The sequence below is a fragment of the Homo sapiens genome, chromosome 9, assembly GCF_000001405.40.
Source record: "Homo sapiens chromosome 9, GRCh38.p14 Primary Assembly".
NCBI lineage: Eukaryota > Metazoa > Chordata > Mammalia > Primates > Hominidae > Homo > Homo sapiens.
Window position 1 is genome coordinate 40,240,170 of NC_000009.12, and position 15,584 is coordinate 40,255,753.

The 15,584-nt window shown below is 37.4% G+C and overlaps 1 pseudogene across 6 annotated transcripts in view; it reads left to right on the forward strand.

Annotated features, from left to right (window-relative positions):
* ANKRD20A2P (ankyrin repeat domain 20 family member A2, pseudogene) overlaps positions 1-15,584 on the forward strand; it is a 60,257-nt pseudogene that overhangs the window by 18,068 nt on the left and 26,605 nt on the right. For 5 of the 6 annotated variants that reach the window (XR_007061496.1, XR_004837499.2, XR_004837500.2 and 2 more), the window contains exons 7-11: positions 1,560-1,590; positions 4,277-4,346; positions 8,295-8,379; positions 11,088-11,116; positions 11,208-11,280. The product of XR_007061496.1 is annotated as an ankyrin repeat domain 20 family member A2, pseudogene, transcript variant X1 (transcript). The remainder of the gene's footprint in view (positions 1-1,559; positions 1,591-4,276; positions 4,347-8,294; positions 8,380-11,087; positions 11,117-11,207; positions 11,281-15,584) is intronic. The other variant, XR_004837502.2, reaches the window with a different exon arrangement.

Genomic DNA, 15,584 nt, shown 5'->3' on the forward strand with positions numbered 1-15,584 from the left:
CTCTTCCTTTGAGGGATGAGGTTGACAACAGCCTGTATTATGATGATGTGACTCACCTACAACTAGATTCTGTCATGAGGGATAGCAAGAGAGTTTTGCTTTCTGTGAGGTGAAAAAGAATTTTTTTCCCCTACTAGGGAGAAGGGCAAGCACTGGAACATTCTGGTAGTAAAAGGGCATTGATGGTTTTCTTTCTATATATTTTTCACATCATATAGTACTGTCCAGCAGCCTGCCACACCTCCCTGGTGTTTCTTCAGCTTCTCTCTGAATGTGAGGTGTGGTTCCTAGCGTATAAGCTCTTAAAGGAGTGATCTTTCCAGTGGTTTTTCTGTGGGAGGTAAAATGGCAGGTGAATTTGGGCCTTGCTATATGTAGGGCAGAGCAAATAGCTACAACTAAGTAAACCACCCAGCACCTTCCCCAAAGAGTAGTAGCCAGAGTAATACATTGATCTCTTTTGAGCTCTTTTCCACTAGCGGCTGGAAAGTCTTTGCAAGGATTCCTGTTTCTGGTCGGATTCCTATGTTTTGCTGACATCTGGTGTTAGGGTGTTTTATTCTAAACTGAGCAGTTTGAACTGAAGAGCTAGAGAGGCTGTGTTGTGTTATAACAAAATAAGTGCAGTAGCTCCCCCTTAACTGTGGGAGATACATTCCAAGACCCCCAAGTGGATGCATGAAACCATGAATAGTACTGAATCACAAACTGTTTTTCCCTATACATACATATCTATGCTAAAGTTTAATTTATAAATTAAATTGAATCTGATGTTACCAGCAGATAAGGTGTGAGAATTGAATTGTGTCATCAGCAGGAATGATTGCTTGCTTGTTGGTGGGGAAAAACCCTCCACACATTTGGTCACAGAAGCCTTCTTTGTTGATGATTGTTGCTGTGGTGTGACAGTAGAGAAAAATGTGTCAAGTATGTCTTTCTGCACGTATAGTGGATAAGGGGTACTACTGTGTACTCTGTTTTAATGGCGCCTCATATTTTGGTCCAGAAATCATGCTCTTTGACACTGGTGACTCATCACACCTGTTCTGCTAACAATACCATTTTTACTCAACCTCATAGGGTTTGGCTAAGATGACTTGCATACTGCAGTTCACTTGTAGATACCAAATTTTAATAAATTTATTCTTCTTTGCATCTAATAAATACAAAGGGAAGAGTTCTTACTGCATTAATTACCTACCAATATGTATAACGAATGTTAATTCTAATAAGGTCCCAGGCATGCTCCCAAAGGAATGCTTTGTAACAAAGCATCAGTCTTATGCTTTAAAAAACCAAACCAAAACAAAACAAAAACAACAACAACAAAAAACAGGATCTAAAGCATACATACAAGTGTGCACAATTTTTTTATGAAGGTAGAGTCTTACTATGTTTCCCAAGCTGGTCTCAAACTTCTGGGCTCCTCAAGTGATCCTCCTGCCTCAGCCTCCCAAGTAGTTTGGATTAGAGGGATGCATCACTGTGCATTCTTATGCTTTTAATATTCTGTACATTTGTTATTGATTTAAAATGCATTTTACCTTTTTCTTTAATAGATGTTGGAAGTTCTGATGAATCTGCAGTCAGGTAGGATTTTATAGATTTAAAAAATTATGTTAACTAAGAAAATATAGATGGAAGAAACGAATATCTGTTGAGTGTTGTATTCTGGGCTAGACATCCTAATATGTTCTATGCGTTTATCATCTCATAAAGCCATCACAACATCTGTGTTCCTATAACCTACTGTTTATTAAATAAACAACTATGGATTAGAGCTGATTAATTGCCTCATGATCCCATAGTTAACAAAGTAGCTGGCCTACAGTTTGACCATCAGCCTGCCTGCCTTCCAAATCCTGTCTCTTGCTCCTCAGCATAGATTGACAGATATCTGTGCAGCCCTTGGATCAAGGTATAGGTCTGAATCAGATTAGTCAGATTGATTAATTTGATTAATGTCTAAATTAATGAGAGTTTAAATACCTTGAACTCTCATTTAAGTTTATCATTAGAATGTGGTTAGTCCAAGAGTTTGTCCTAATAAATTTGACAATTTCAGTGGTAACCAGTATCTTATTTTTACCATCAAAGGCTCTAGGGCAGATCTTACTTAGCTTTGCCATAGGGGTGTAAGTTTTACAAAAGCAAGTTTAGGCAAGTCTTAGAGACAAATTATTTGACTTCCCAGTTTGGTTTTCCATTTAGGCAAGTATTTCTGCTTACTTCCATAATACATTTTTTAGTCTTGTTGCTTTTTCCGTGACTTTTCTATAATCTTGCCTTCATTTTTTAAAACTTTCTTCTCTGCTTTTCTTGGTATTTCTTTTGTTCTATTATTTTTTCAAACTCTGCTGGCTATGTATTCTAAGTTTTTCTATAGACAGAATCAAGAGGACATAGAATTACAGAATTTTAAGGAATCTTGGAATGAATTAAAATACCTTCTAGTATTTTTACCTGTGTTGAACATTCTGGTCAAATGATTCTCTAGATAGAGAATGTGAGGCTCAAAGAGTTTAGGATGCTTTTTTTTAGACATAGGAATTGGCAGAAATGAGATTTGAACTCATGTTAAAGCCCAGTACTCTTGCTTCTTTTTATATCCTATTGGCGTGTGTTTTAATAATACAAACGGGAGTGAGTCTGTGGGTAGAATGAGAATGGAATTAGCTGGGGAACCCAATGGAAGTAGATAAGAATGGAATGAGCAGGGGAAGTCCAAGTTTGAAGATAAACAACACTGGATTGGATAGGAGTACAGACTCTTCTATAAGAGATCAAAATATTGGGGTTTATGACAAGTTTGATAAAGATAAATTATAAAAATGAAGGACACAAGATGTTGGGAATTATCTACGAAGGCACATTAAAATAGAAGGTTCAAGGGAGCTCTAAAAAGTTTGCTGCTTTTTTTTAAATCAAGGACTGACAAACTTGAAGATTTTTACTGAAAGATGCTAAAACATTTTGAGACACTGGGAGGAGCGTCTGCAGCAGATAGAAATGTGGTGTCATCTACTTCCATCCTGACTTAGAAAGGGGTGGCTTAGAGCCCCTGGAGTACTAAGGGGCTGGAGATTGCTGAACTACATAGATCTGTGGCCCAGTACAGGTGTCTCCTCACCTCTGCCTCTTTTCCCGATTCACTGATGTCCTTCCCATGTCCATGTGGGCTGGTTCAGGGGCATGATTGGCTGGCAAATCAGTCATGGAGTTCAGTTGGGTAGTTGGTAGTGTGTCTAGCTGGGGGCAGGTGATGGAGACTCCAGTTAGCTTGTTTTTCAGGAGCAGGGATATAGAGAGCTCCTAGTCCTGGTCATTTGAGGCCATCCTTTCAGGAATCTGTGCTTTCATAGACTGAAGATTTAAAGATTGGAGACTTCTGTGGAGCCCTGCAGAAGTGGAATCTGGAAGTGGGAGCCCATAGGAAGACAGATACTTAGAGAGTACTTAGGGAAATAGAGGTACACCTACCAGGACTCTGTTTTTTTCTGACAGTCTCTCTCCTTGGGTGTCTGAGTGCCTATGAAAAGTTTTAAGGGCTTGCTAGTTTATGTGGACCTGAATAAGGTAGGACCTATAGGGTGAAAATAATGGGATTTTATAATTGTTAATATTTCAATCTTTCTGGGAAAAGTATTCTCAATAAGAACATACACCTTTGTTATTTGACTTCTGTACATTTAGCTTTCATACATTTCAAATATTGTAGGGGCTTTCCTGTACTGATTTAGGGCAAAGGAAAGCAATAGGACCTTCCTAAGTGGGTTCCATGCTGAGGAATCAAGACTGCCATATTGAAGTGATGCAGATTAGTCTTTTATCCAGAGACAGATCATGGAAAAGAGACAGTGGATCTTTCTACCTTGTTTTAGGTTATTAGTTTTCTTCCAGTTTAGGTAACAAAATTTATGTCATCCATTAATTGAATTTTAAGTTCAGCTTCAGGACAGATAATTTGTGAGGGCAAATCATTGTCAGGCTCTGCCAATTTATTGACTGTCACTATTTGTTATAAAGCTCAAGGTTAGTTTTCATTGAATATTTTATAGATTTAGACAAGTGGAGGCAGAAATAGGTAACTAAAATCTATTTTTAGAAGAGGACATATTTTAATTATATCAAGAATCACTATTTAATATATAGATTGCTGACCTTTCCCTAGATTATGGTTTCCTTTTTTGAGGGGGAAGCTGGATATAAACTGGCAGTTAAAAAAATTGTAAAGAAATCAACTTGCTCATTTTCGTTGTGTGTTTTTGCTCTCAAGCATTTTCCATGAACTGCGTGTGGATTCATTGCCTGCATCGGATGACAAAGACTTGAATGTTGCTACTAAGGTAAAGTGGTCTCTTGTAAAATTAATTTTCTCACTCTGAATGTACTTTTGCATAGTATTTACTTTTCAAATTTAGCAGTGGTTTACCTATCATTGTTTTATGGTGGTAATGGAAAGTTGGTCAGAGAAAAACATACATATGGCTAGTTGATTCAAAAAATGTGTTTAACTTTGGTAACTAACAAAGATTGATAAGTACTGTGACAGGGTGGGAGCTGAAAAAAAATGAACTGGAAAATTAGTAGTGACAGGAAAATCACATTAGGAAATGCTTTCTCCAATAGAGGAAATATGAAATTTGCTTAAGGTTTATTTGGATAAATACTAATACTTTGACTTTTAAATCATACGAGTGTGACTTTCTTAATATTTATGCCTGTATAAATCTTCAGTGGATCAAATTATTTGCAGTAATCATGGGATCCTCCTGGTGATTTTTAGTGGCAAGAATATTCAGCACATAGCATATAGCTTTTGTTCTTGGAAACTTATTATTTTGGTATCATATTGTTTTTACGAGAGATTGTTTTTCTACTTATATTATTGGTTCTGTAGTGAGACAAAAAAAAAATAAAAATTGTAGAAAAATAACTGAGTGTGGTGGTGTACACCTGTAGTCCCTGCTACTTGGGAATTTGAGGCAGGAAGATTGCTTGAACCCAGGAGTTTGAGAACAGCCTGGGCAACATCGTATCTGATTTAAAAATATAAATTGTGGAAATATAGAAATTTAAATTTATGTTCTCAAAATGTGTATTGCAAAGGAATTTTTGTGTGGTTTATGAGTTGTCCATGAAGAGTTTATATAAGGCACTTCATCTAATTGAATAACATGTATTTTGCTGCAAATAACCAGTTCTAGAAGCAGAGACTCTTAATACCAATGGATGGTAAGACTTTATCCTCATAATTTTGTCATTGTAGTTTATTTAAAATATTTACTTCACCAGGTGTGGAGACTCACCTGTAATCCCAGCAGTTTTGGAGGCCGAGGTCGGTAGATCACCTGAGGTCAGGAGTTCAAGATCAGCCTGGCCAACGTGGTGAAACCCTGTCTCTAAAAAAAACCAAAACCAAAACAAAACAAAACAAAACAAAAGCAGAAAAATTAACCAGGCGTGATGGTGCATGCCTGTAACCCCAGCTGCTCAGGAGGCCAAGGTGGGAGAATCGCTTGAACCCGGGAGGCGGAGGTTGCAGTGAGCCAAGATCGCACCATTGCACTCCAGCCTGGGTGACAGAGCAAGACTACATCTTAAAAAATAAAATAGCCACTCAAAGTCCTCATATCATATTCTGAAATTTTGAATTTCAGAAGGTTTTCTATTTAGTTGTTTAAATAATCATTGGAAGCTCCTGCATACCGTAAGCTACTGGAGGTCAGTAAACATATTTGTGTGTATCCTGGAGTACCTAGAATACAGTCTTCCATGTAAGAAGCATTTTAGTTGTTGTTTTTTGAGATGGGGTTTCACTCTGTCCCCCAGGCTGGAGGGCACTGGTGAGATCTTGGCTCACTCCAATCTCCATTTCCTGGGCTCAGGTGATCCTCACACCTCAGCCATCCAAGTAGTTTAAACAATAGAGCTATGTCACCATAGACCTGTGTCACCATGCTCAGCTGAGTTTTGTAGAGACAGGGTTTTGCCTTGTTGCCCAGGCTGGTCTTTAACTGTTGGGCTCAAGTGTTCTGCCTGCCTCAGCCTCTCAAAGTGCTGGGTTACAGGCATAAGACATTCAGCCTTAATAGTTGTTTAATCTGAATAAATAGACAAATGAATTTTTATATAATGGAATGTTATAAGTAATATAATAAACCTAATGTATCTAATAATTAAATATTGTATTTAAAATATTGCTTACATTGTATTTTTTAATATTTAAGGGTGTATAAGTTTTGATATGTTATGTTGAGAAATTATGCCATAATTAAAAAGGAAATAAAATAGAAATAGGTCATCAGTAGAAAATAGGGTTACAATATATTTTCTAGTATCATTCAACTGGAATCTTAACATTGAGATTTTAGATTAACATTTCTTAAGCTTTTTATTAGCTCTAACTCATGTTCTATTAAATATACGTTTTCAAGCCATACATTACTCTTTATTATTCTTATACTGTAAGTTCTAGGGTACATGTGCACAATGTGTGGGTTTGTTACATGTGTATACACGTGCCATGTTGGTGTGCTGCACCCATTAACTCATCATTTACATTAGGTATATCTCCTAATGCTATCCCTCCCCCCTTGTCCGCCCCACGACAGGCCCCAGTGTGTGATGTTCCCCATCCTGTGTCCAAGTGTTCTCATTGTTCAATTTCCACCTATGAGTGAGAACATGCAGTGTTTGGTTTTTTGTCCTTGCGATAGTTTGCTCAGAATGATGGTTTCCAGCTTCATCCATGTCCCTACAAAGGACATGAACTCATCCTTTTTTATGGCTGCATAGTATTCCATGGTGTATATGTGCCACATTGTCTTAATCCAGTCTATCATTGATGGACATTTGGGTTGGTTCCAAGTCTTTGCTATTGTAAATAGTGCCGCAATAAACATACGTGTGCATGTGTCTTTATAGCAGCATGACTTATAATCCTTTGGGTATATACCCAGTAATGGGATGGCTGGGTCAAATGGTATTTCTAGTTCTAGATCCTTGAGGAATCACCATACTGTCTTCCTCAAAGGATGAACTAGTTTACAGTCCCACCAACAGTGTAAAAGTACTCCTATTTCTCCACATCCTCTCCAGCACCTGTGGGTTCCTGACTTTTTAATGATCGTCATTGTAACTGGTGTGAGATGGTATCTCATTGTGGTTTTGATTTGCATTTCTCTGATGGCCAGTGATGATGAGCATTTTTTCATGTGTCTGCCATACGTTACTCTTTAGAATTCTGGTGACCAATTTTTTTCTGGGTGGAAAGTTGATTGAAAGTTCTAGTTTTCTCTCTGTGTTATAATAATGTTCTTTCAGGTAGTGGTCGATGACCATATTTAGCTAATTGAATGTCTTATAGTAATAAACTATATCACAGAAGTACTTACAAAAAACTAATTGTAGCATAAATATTAATTAGTATTATCAGGGATATGAAAGAGCAAAAGGCTCTGTTATAGATCTATTTCCCCATGTACTTTATTGTACTTCATGTTGTCTCTTTTCTTTCTTGGCTTAAGCTCATATTTCATTGACCAATTAGGCTTGTTTTTTGTTTGTATCTCTCTTCATTCTCATATTTTAAATTGAAATTTTTGGGGAGTCAGGGTCTTGCTCTGTTGCCCATGCTGCAGTGTAGTGGCATGATCTTGGCTCACTGCAGTATCCACCTCTCAGGCTCAAGTGATCCTCCCACATCAGCTTCCCAAGCAGCTGGGACTACAGGCGCACACCATCATGCCTGACTCCTTTTGGTATTTTTTGAGTAGAGATGTGTTCTCATTATGTTGCCCAGGCTGGTCTCAAACTCCTGAACTCAAGCAATCCACCCACCTTGGCCTTGCAAAGGGCTGAGATTACAGGTGTGAGCCACCATGCCTGGGCAACATTGAGATTGATTTAAAGAAATTGATTAGGGCTGGGTGTGGTGGTGCACACTGCTTATCTCAACACTTTGGGGGGCAGAAGTGGAAGATTTACTTGAGCTCAGGAGTTTGAGACCAGCCTGGGCAGTATAATGAGGCCTTGTCTCTGCAAAGATAACAATAAAAACATTAGCATGGCATGAAGGGACGCACCTGTAGTTCCAGCTATTCAGGAAGTTGAGGTGGGAAGATTGCTTGAGGTCAGGAGTTTGAGACAACAGTGAGCCATAATCAGGCCCCTGCATTCTAGCCCTGGGTTGACAGAGTGAGACCCAGTTTCATAAAAAGAGATTGATAAGAAACTCTTGATGCAACTCATTATAATTTTAAAATGGAAACTAATTCTTGATATTACCTTAGCAGTGTGTCCCCGAGAAAGTGTCAGAGCCTTTACCTGGATCTTCGCATGAAAAAGGAAACAGAATAGTCAATGGACAAGGAGAAGGTGAGAACCGTATTTTATTTAAAAAGTCTTTTGATGGAGGCCGGGTGCGGTGGCTCACGCCTGTAATCCCAGCACTTTGGGAGGCCGAGGCGGGCGGATCACGAGGTCAGGAGATCCAGACCATCCTGGATAACATGGTGAAACCCCATCTCTACTAAAAATACAAAAAACTAGCCAGGTGGTGTTGTGGGCGCCTGTAGTCCCAGCTACTCAGGAGGCTGAGGCAGGAGAATGGCTTGAACCCGGGAGGCGGAGCTTGCAGTGAGCGGAGATACCACCACTGCATTCCACCCTGGGCGACAGAGCGAGACTCCGTCTCAGAAAAAACAAAACAAAAAAAGTCATTTGATGGAATGTTTCTTTGAAAATATGAGCACTAATAGAGTGTAATAGCTAAAGAAAGTGTCCTATTAACTGTATAATAAGTAAAGGAGAAGTGAAATGGTGATAAGTTGTGTCTCTAACCAAGGGTCAGCAGTTGATTCTATTGGGAGTACCACTAAAGGAGCTGAATTGTGAGTTCCATTTTAAGATACTCTAAGACCTGAGGCAAGTCAGGAGAGAGGGAAGAGGAAATGAATAAAGAGAAAGAAAGAATGAGGAGAGCGGATTGTACATGGAATAAATAAAAAAGCATATGCAGAGGTAAGTAAGAGAGGATAGTAAAGGCAAATTGATCTGTAGAAGAAGGAAGAACATGGTGTTAGAAACAGGAAAGAAGATAAAGTGAGCTTCCAGTACCAAAATGTGTCAGAGAATTACAGTAACATTTTCCTTCTCTTGCTGTCATCCTCGCTACTGGGGAGGCATTAAGGATTGAGGCACCTCACCACACAGACCTGTGTTTTATCTACCATAGATGAACATCACCAAAGATGGTCAGCCATGTATGGCTATAATTTGTTTTTATAGAAAATGTTGTAACCTCATAGGATAGTATCATATAGGCCAAATTAACATAATTGAATAGTGTTGGGTGATTTATGGAGAAGAAATTAATTCAAGAAGTTATTGCCTGATTAAAAGTTCATTAGAAACATTATGGCTTATAATGTAGTATTAAATTGAGGGACATAATAGGGAAGAAATTGAGGCTAGGCCAAAAGGGCAATTAGGGGAAACCAATATGGAAGCACATCAGTGTAGAACAGGGCATTCAAATTGTCATGAATGAGTTGAAGAGCTTCTGGAAGGTGCACATTCTGATTCAGCAGGTATGGGAGTCTGCATTTCTCATGAGTACTCAGGTGATTTTTGGTGCTGGTCCTTGGACACAGCTCTGAATAGCAAGGGAATAGCCTTCCTTTAGAGAACTCTGGAAAAAGAACCATTGGAGAGCAATTTAAAAAATAACAGAATCCAGGGAAAGCATTAATTTCCTTTTATTTCTGAGCATGATTCTAGCCACAGGGGAAGGAGAATGAGATGAAAACAGAGAGATTACAGGTGTATACTACTGCTGAATACAGATGAAAAAAGTGGTCACAATTATCCATAAAAAGCAGTTAGGAAGGGAAGCATCAGGATGACAGTTCTAAAAATCACTGTTTCAAAGGAAGAGGGATTGTGAAAGGACACGGAGGGAGGAAAGAAAGACATTTGCTGGGGTCTTGGGAGTTGAAGCCAAGTAAACTTGAGACAACTCACTTCCAGTTGCTTCAGCATATGCCCAGTCTCACAAAAGAGGTTATTGCTGTGGAGAGTACTGGAGGCAGGAGGGAGTGCTAGAGTTGGGGTAAACCACAGCAGCTCATTTCACTTGATAACTGTCAGGCCTCAGAGAGAGAAGTTTCACTGACATGAGTGAATAAGATGTGATTAAGTTGCATATAGATGCTTTGGCTAATTTTTTTTGATATTACAAAATTCATTCTGTGAATACCAAAATTCTCTTTTTCAATAAATACTGCACTGATTTTGAAATATAAATATGTATTCATATCCAGCAAGTCTGTGGTAATTCAGTGTTTTCTTTTTTGATAAATATTTTGATATCGGAAGCTTATTCGACATGGTTTATTTTATGTGATCCTTGCATGAGTGGATCAAGGAGCTCTAACTCAAGGCCAAATGAGGGGATAGGAGAAATGTAGGTGCTGCAGTAGCCCATGTGATCATGGGAAAAATGAGTAGTTTGATTAGCTGTCATTTCATAAGTGTGTATACTAGCTGATCAATGTAGAACACTTTCTTTGATGAGAGGTGAATCACACATTCACCTGAACTGTCATCCCAACTGTGTATTTCCTCAGTGACAAGACAAGGGGAATTTGTTTGTGGCATGCTGGCAGCAATGCCTCTGCTGTGTTGAGTTAAAATACTCTGTACATTCACCATCAGCTTTGACGTCGATTCCCTCAGGTTTGATTTGCTCCTCTGTTTAATGGTCCCTTTTCTCCTCATCAGTCCACATGTTCACGGTGATATCCATGCTTTTCTATTTTAGGTATAGGCATTTGAAACATAATCTCACTACTGAAATGTAAACTGTGCATTTTAGGAATCCTATATTCCTATTTTCCTCATTATGTTTCTGTCATGTTGCCGTCCTAGGCAATGAAAAGATGCCAAGAAGAACCCTCAAAACCTTAAGTAATTATTTTTATAGCCAGGCATGAGAATTCAGCTCGATAGTACCACTGCATGAATGTTTGGTTGGCCCTGTCATACTTACATATAATTGATGACATATCCCCTTTGCTTTGTAGGGCCTCCTGCAAAACATCCTTCCTTGAAGGTAATTAATTATGTATATTTTTGAATCACTAACTCCATGTTGTATAAAATATATATGATTTATGAATCATTTTCTTTTAAAACCCATTCAGCCTAGCACTGAAGTAGAAGATCCTGCTGTGAAAGGAGCAGTACAAAGAAAGAATGTACAGACATTGAGAGCAGGTACATTTAATGGAATACTGGAAATAAGTACATTCAATGATTGGAAGTACTCACATTATTCTTATTCCTAATTCTATTTGTTCAAAATTGAATGGAAGGCATTGACATAAATGTTATTGTTGGTATCCATATTTGAATAAAAATAAATTTAGAAGCATAAAAAAGATTTTAAAAATGTAACCTTTAACTCAGATGTTTCTCTTTTAATGTTTTGAATAGCATGAAGTTTTCAGTATAAAATTTTTATACCTGTCAGGGATTCAAAGCAGTGAATTTTGAGACTCTAAGATATTTCCAATGAGTTAAGTGCTACTTGGAGTTCTGAACTTTACCTAGAGGAAAGCTTTACTTATTAACATGTCAGATTCTGTTTTAACTTTAGAGGCTTGCTGCTAGTGTTATTACACTGATGATCTGAAGCCAATCAGATGTTCTAATGAGCAAGACTGTGTGTGTAGGTGTATATATAGCTGTGTGTATGTGTGTGTTTGTGGCATCTTTGACTATTAAAAATGAGGAAAGTAATGATTCATTTATAACTGGTAGACACAGTCTTTTAAAATGGTGATTTTGAGACTTTTTGGTGTTAAGGTTTTTAAAACATGATTGCATAGAGGCTACCGACATCATAAGTTGGTTGTTTTTCATTTCAATGCCCTTTTGAAATCTTTAACTATATTGTGATGCTCAGAAATAATATGCAGAATTTTTTATTTGTGTCCCAAAATGGTATGTGAGTGGTTATACACTTTACATACCTTTCTGCCACTTTCTTTGGTGTATTTTGTATTATATTTTCCAGATATATCCACATTGATATGATTATCTCTGGTTTAATTCATTTTACACTTTTCATTGTATTCCCTTATACCACTTTACCACATTTAGTTAGACTCTCCTGTTGCTGATAAATGAAGAAAGAAAGAAAAATAAAAATAATGTCAGATTAAGTGGGCTTTTCTTTAATCAGTTTGTATCTATTAATATTTACTATATGAGAGTTTAAAGTTGAAAAGTTCAGAATACAAGCATGCACCACCATATTTTATAAATGCCCTTAGAACTGTGACTCATGAGCCTTTAGCCTATGAAGTTAGGACAATTCATTTCTCTGAAGAAGTTTGTTGTGCTGTTCTCAGAAAAGAAAACTGAAAATAGCAAATGATATTGTCTTATTTGACCTCTTGGACATCTTTGAATGAAACTGCAACTCCAGGGATACTCAGATCAAAATTCAGAAGTAATGTTTTGAACAATATAGTTTGTGAATGTCCAGTGGATCATGAGCCCTTGATGGGAAAATGACCTTTCAAGTTTCACTTTTGCATTTTTTGCTCTTTTCCTTGACTTGTCTTAAAAGCTTAAATTCAACCGTTTTATTTTTACAGAAACTGGGAATATAACTTTTAAAATTTATGTCTGTCCTGTCTCACGGTGTTGTGTACTCTTCAGATCTTGTGTGAATATAGACTTATGTGGGAACAATTAGGTGTTTTGTTTGTTTGTTTGTGTTTTTGAGACAGAGTCTTGCTCTGTCACCAAGGCTGCAGTGCAGTGGCTCGGTCTTGACTCATTACCACCTCTGCCTCTCGGGTTCAAGCAATTCTCCTGCCTCAGGCCCTCGAGTAGCTGATACTACCTGCATGTGCTACCATACCCTGCTAAATTCTCTATTTTTAGTAGAGATGGGGTTTCACCATGTTGGCCAGGCTGCTCTCAAACTCCTGATCTCAGGTGATCTGCCTGCCTCAGCTTGCCAGTATGCTGGGATTACAGGCAGGAGCCACTGTGCCAGGTACAAATAAGATTTTTAAGGCTATTATATTTTATACAATTCTTTGGTCTATGTGAATTCTGAAGGTATTCATGCATTGAGGGAAGATCATCTCAGTTTAATGAAAGCAGTTTTTAATGTATATTCATTAAAAATTTTTTTGAAGTTTTTGTCTCTAGTACAGAGAAACACACAATATTGTCATGGGTATTTGACCTTAATGTGTTTATGCACAAACTTAGTTATTCAAATATTTTCTTATCCCTGAAGAATCCTAATTATTAATAAAAAAATTTCTCATGGAAAACAACATATATAATAGAGATTGTTGAGTGATAAAGTAAATTGTAGTAAATAACAGAAGCTTAGAACAAGTTAAGTAAACTTGTCTGAGTTAATAGAAATTACAGGACTTTTAAGATACATTAGACCATGAGGGAGTAGTGTGTTTGTGGGGTAGAGGACATCATGGTCCTGCTTCAGTGAAGAAAGAACTTTTACACCTTATTACAATTTGTATTACTATTTACATTCTAATAAAAACTTTATTTTCAGATATTTTAGATTATGTTTCTACTAGTTGAACCATCAATAGTAAGACTTTTCAAAGATTTGGGAAGTTGTGAGTTGATGATAAATATCTGTATCACCATTCGTGATCAAAAATCAGCAACTACAAGACTTTGGACACACGAACTTCATAGTTAAAGAAAGGATTAATCTTGGAGCTGTGTTTTTATCAGGGAATTATACTCTTCATTACCTCTGTGAATCGCAGTTATTAGAGTAGAAAGAGAGCAAAGAAGGGAAACAAACATAGAAAATTTTATTCTAGATTACCTCAGTTGGCTTCATGCTACCATAGTTCTGGCTTTTAAAAAGTCATTTTGTGGTCAAATGTACTTTGTGTTTACTCCCTTTATGCAGCCTACAACCAAACAAAATGCTTCTTAGCAAGGCATTTGTATTCTTCCCTTAAGGAAAGCAACATATAAATAACAAAGAGAATGAGGAGAAAGAGTAATTTCATTGAAGTTGGTATTTAACATAAATTTGTGTGCGGGTACCATGATTATATTTAGAATTTTGGGCCTGGAATAGAAAACCAGCTAGACGTCTACAGATTTCCTACTCAAACACAATGTGCCTTTGTTTTATTTTTACATCTGTAATTTTGCAATTATTAGGTACAACTCTATGCAGTGTCACTAAAAATACCTTCCAAAACCAAATATTAAATAATGCCTATGGTTTTCTGTATTATAATGTTGATTTCCCCAATATTAATGGGAACCATTGAGCATTTGCCTTGTGGTGTCTCCTGAGCTGTATTCACACATTCCATCACCTTGTCTTAATGGATAATCATGCACTATGAGTATGGGTTTTCAGAAGAGCTGTATCATTTAAAGATAACACAGGAGCATCAAATTTAATTCTGCTAGAATACCTGGTCTATTGATTAACTGCAGCTAATATGGGGTCTACTTCACATACAAGTTAAATTCAGTGCCCTTAATCAGTCATATGGTCAGGTCAACAGTAATAAATTATGCAATATTTTTTCACCCCTATAGTTTTAATTTCTCTTTCCCCTTATGTCTAGAATTAACATTTTATTTTACAAAACATGATGATAATCTTCTAGAGTAGTGATGACAAAGTATAAATCCAAAGTTTCTTACCTATGCAAATGACTTGTTTGCTTCTATTTTCTCATGAGCTTGGTAGATCCAGGAAACAGAACTTTTAAAACAAAATCCCCATATGTGGCTGGGCGCGGTGGCTCGTGCCTGTAATCCCAGCACTTTGGGAGGCTGAGGCGGGCAGATAACCTGAGGTTGGGAGTTTGAGACCAGCCTGACCAACATGGAGAAACACATCTCTACTAAAAACACAAAATTAGCTGGGCATGGTGGCACATACCTGTAATTCTAGCTACTCGGGAGGCTGAGGCAGGAGAATCACTTGAACCTGGGAGGCAGCAGTTGCGGTGAGCTGAGATTGCACCACTGCACTTCAGCCTGGGCAGCAAGAGTGAAACTCCATCTCAACAACAACAACAACAACAACAACAACAGCAACAGCAACAACCACCACAAAACCCAAATGCATTTCCTTGGCACAGTAAAACTGAAACAGAAAAAGTGTAAAGTAAATACAAGTAACTGAAACAGTTTATGTATATTATTTTACTTCTCATTTGATAAAATTTGTAAAGTAATGAGCAGAGTGTATTTCTCCAGGGACCCAGATATATACATTTATTCATTCAATAAAAATTCATGCTTACAATGGCCACTGATACTTATGTCCTAAATATTTCTGAAAACATCTCCTCAGGCCTGCATCATCTTTGCAACACTGCCTTATATTTTATCTTTGTTCATTGATTTATATGCCTCAGAATTTTATGCTCCTCACAATAATTAGAGTTAATTATCTCTAATGCAAATAGATCTGTGAACCACTCCTGAATACCTATGTCCAAGCATCTTAAAGTTTTATATAAGGATTTCAGAAACTGATT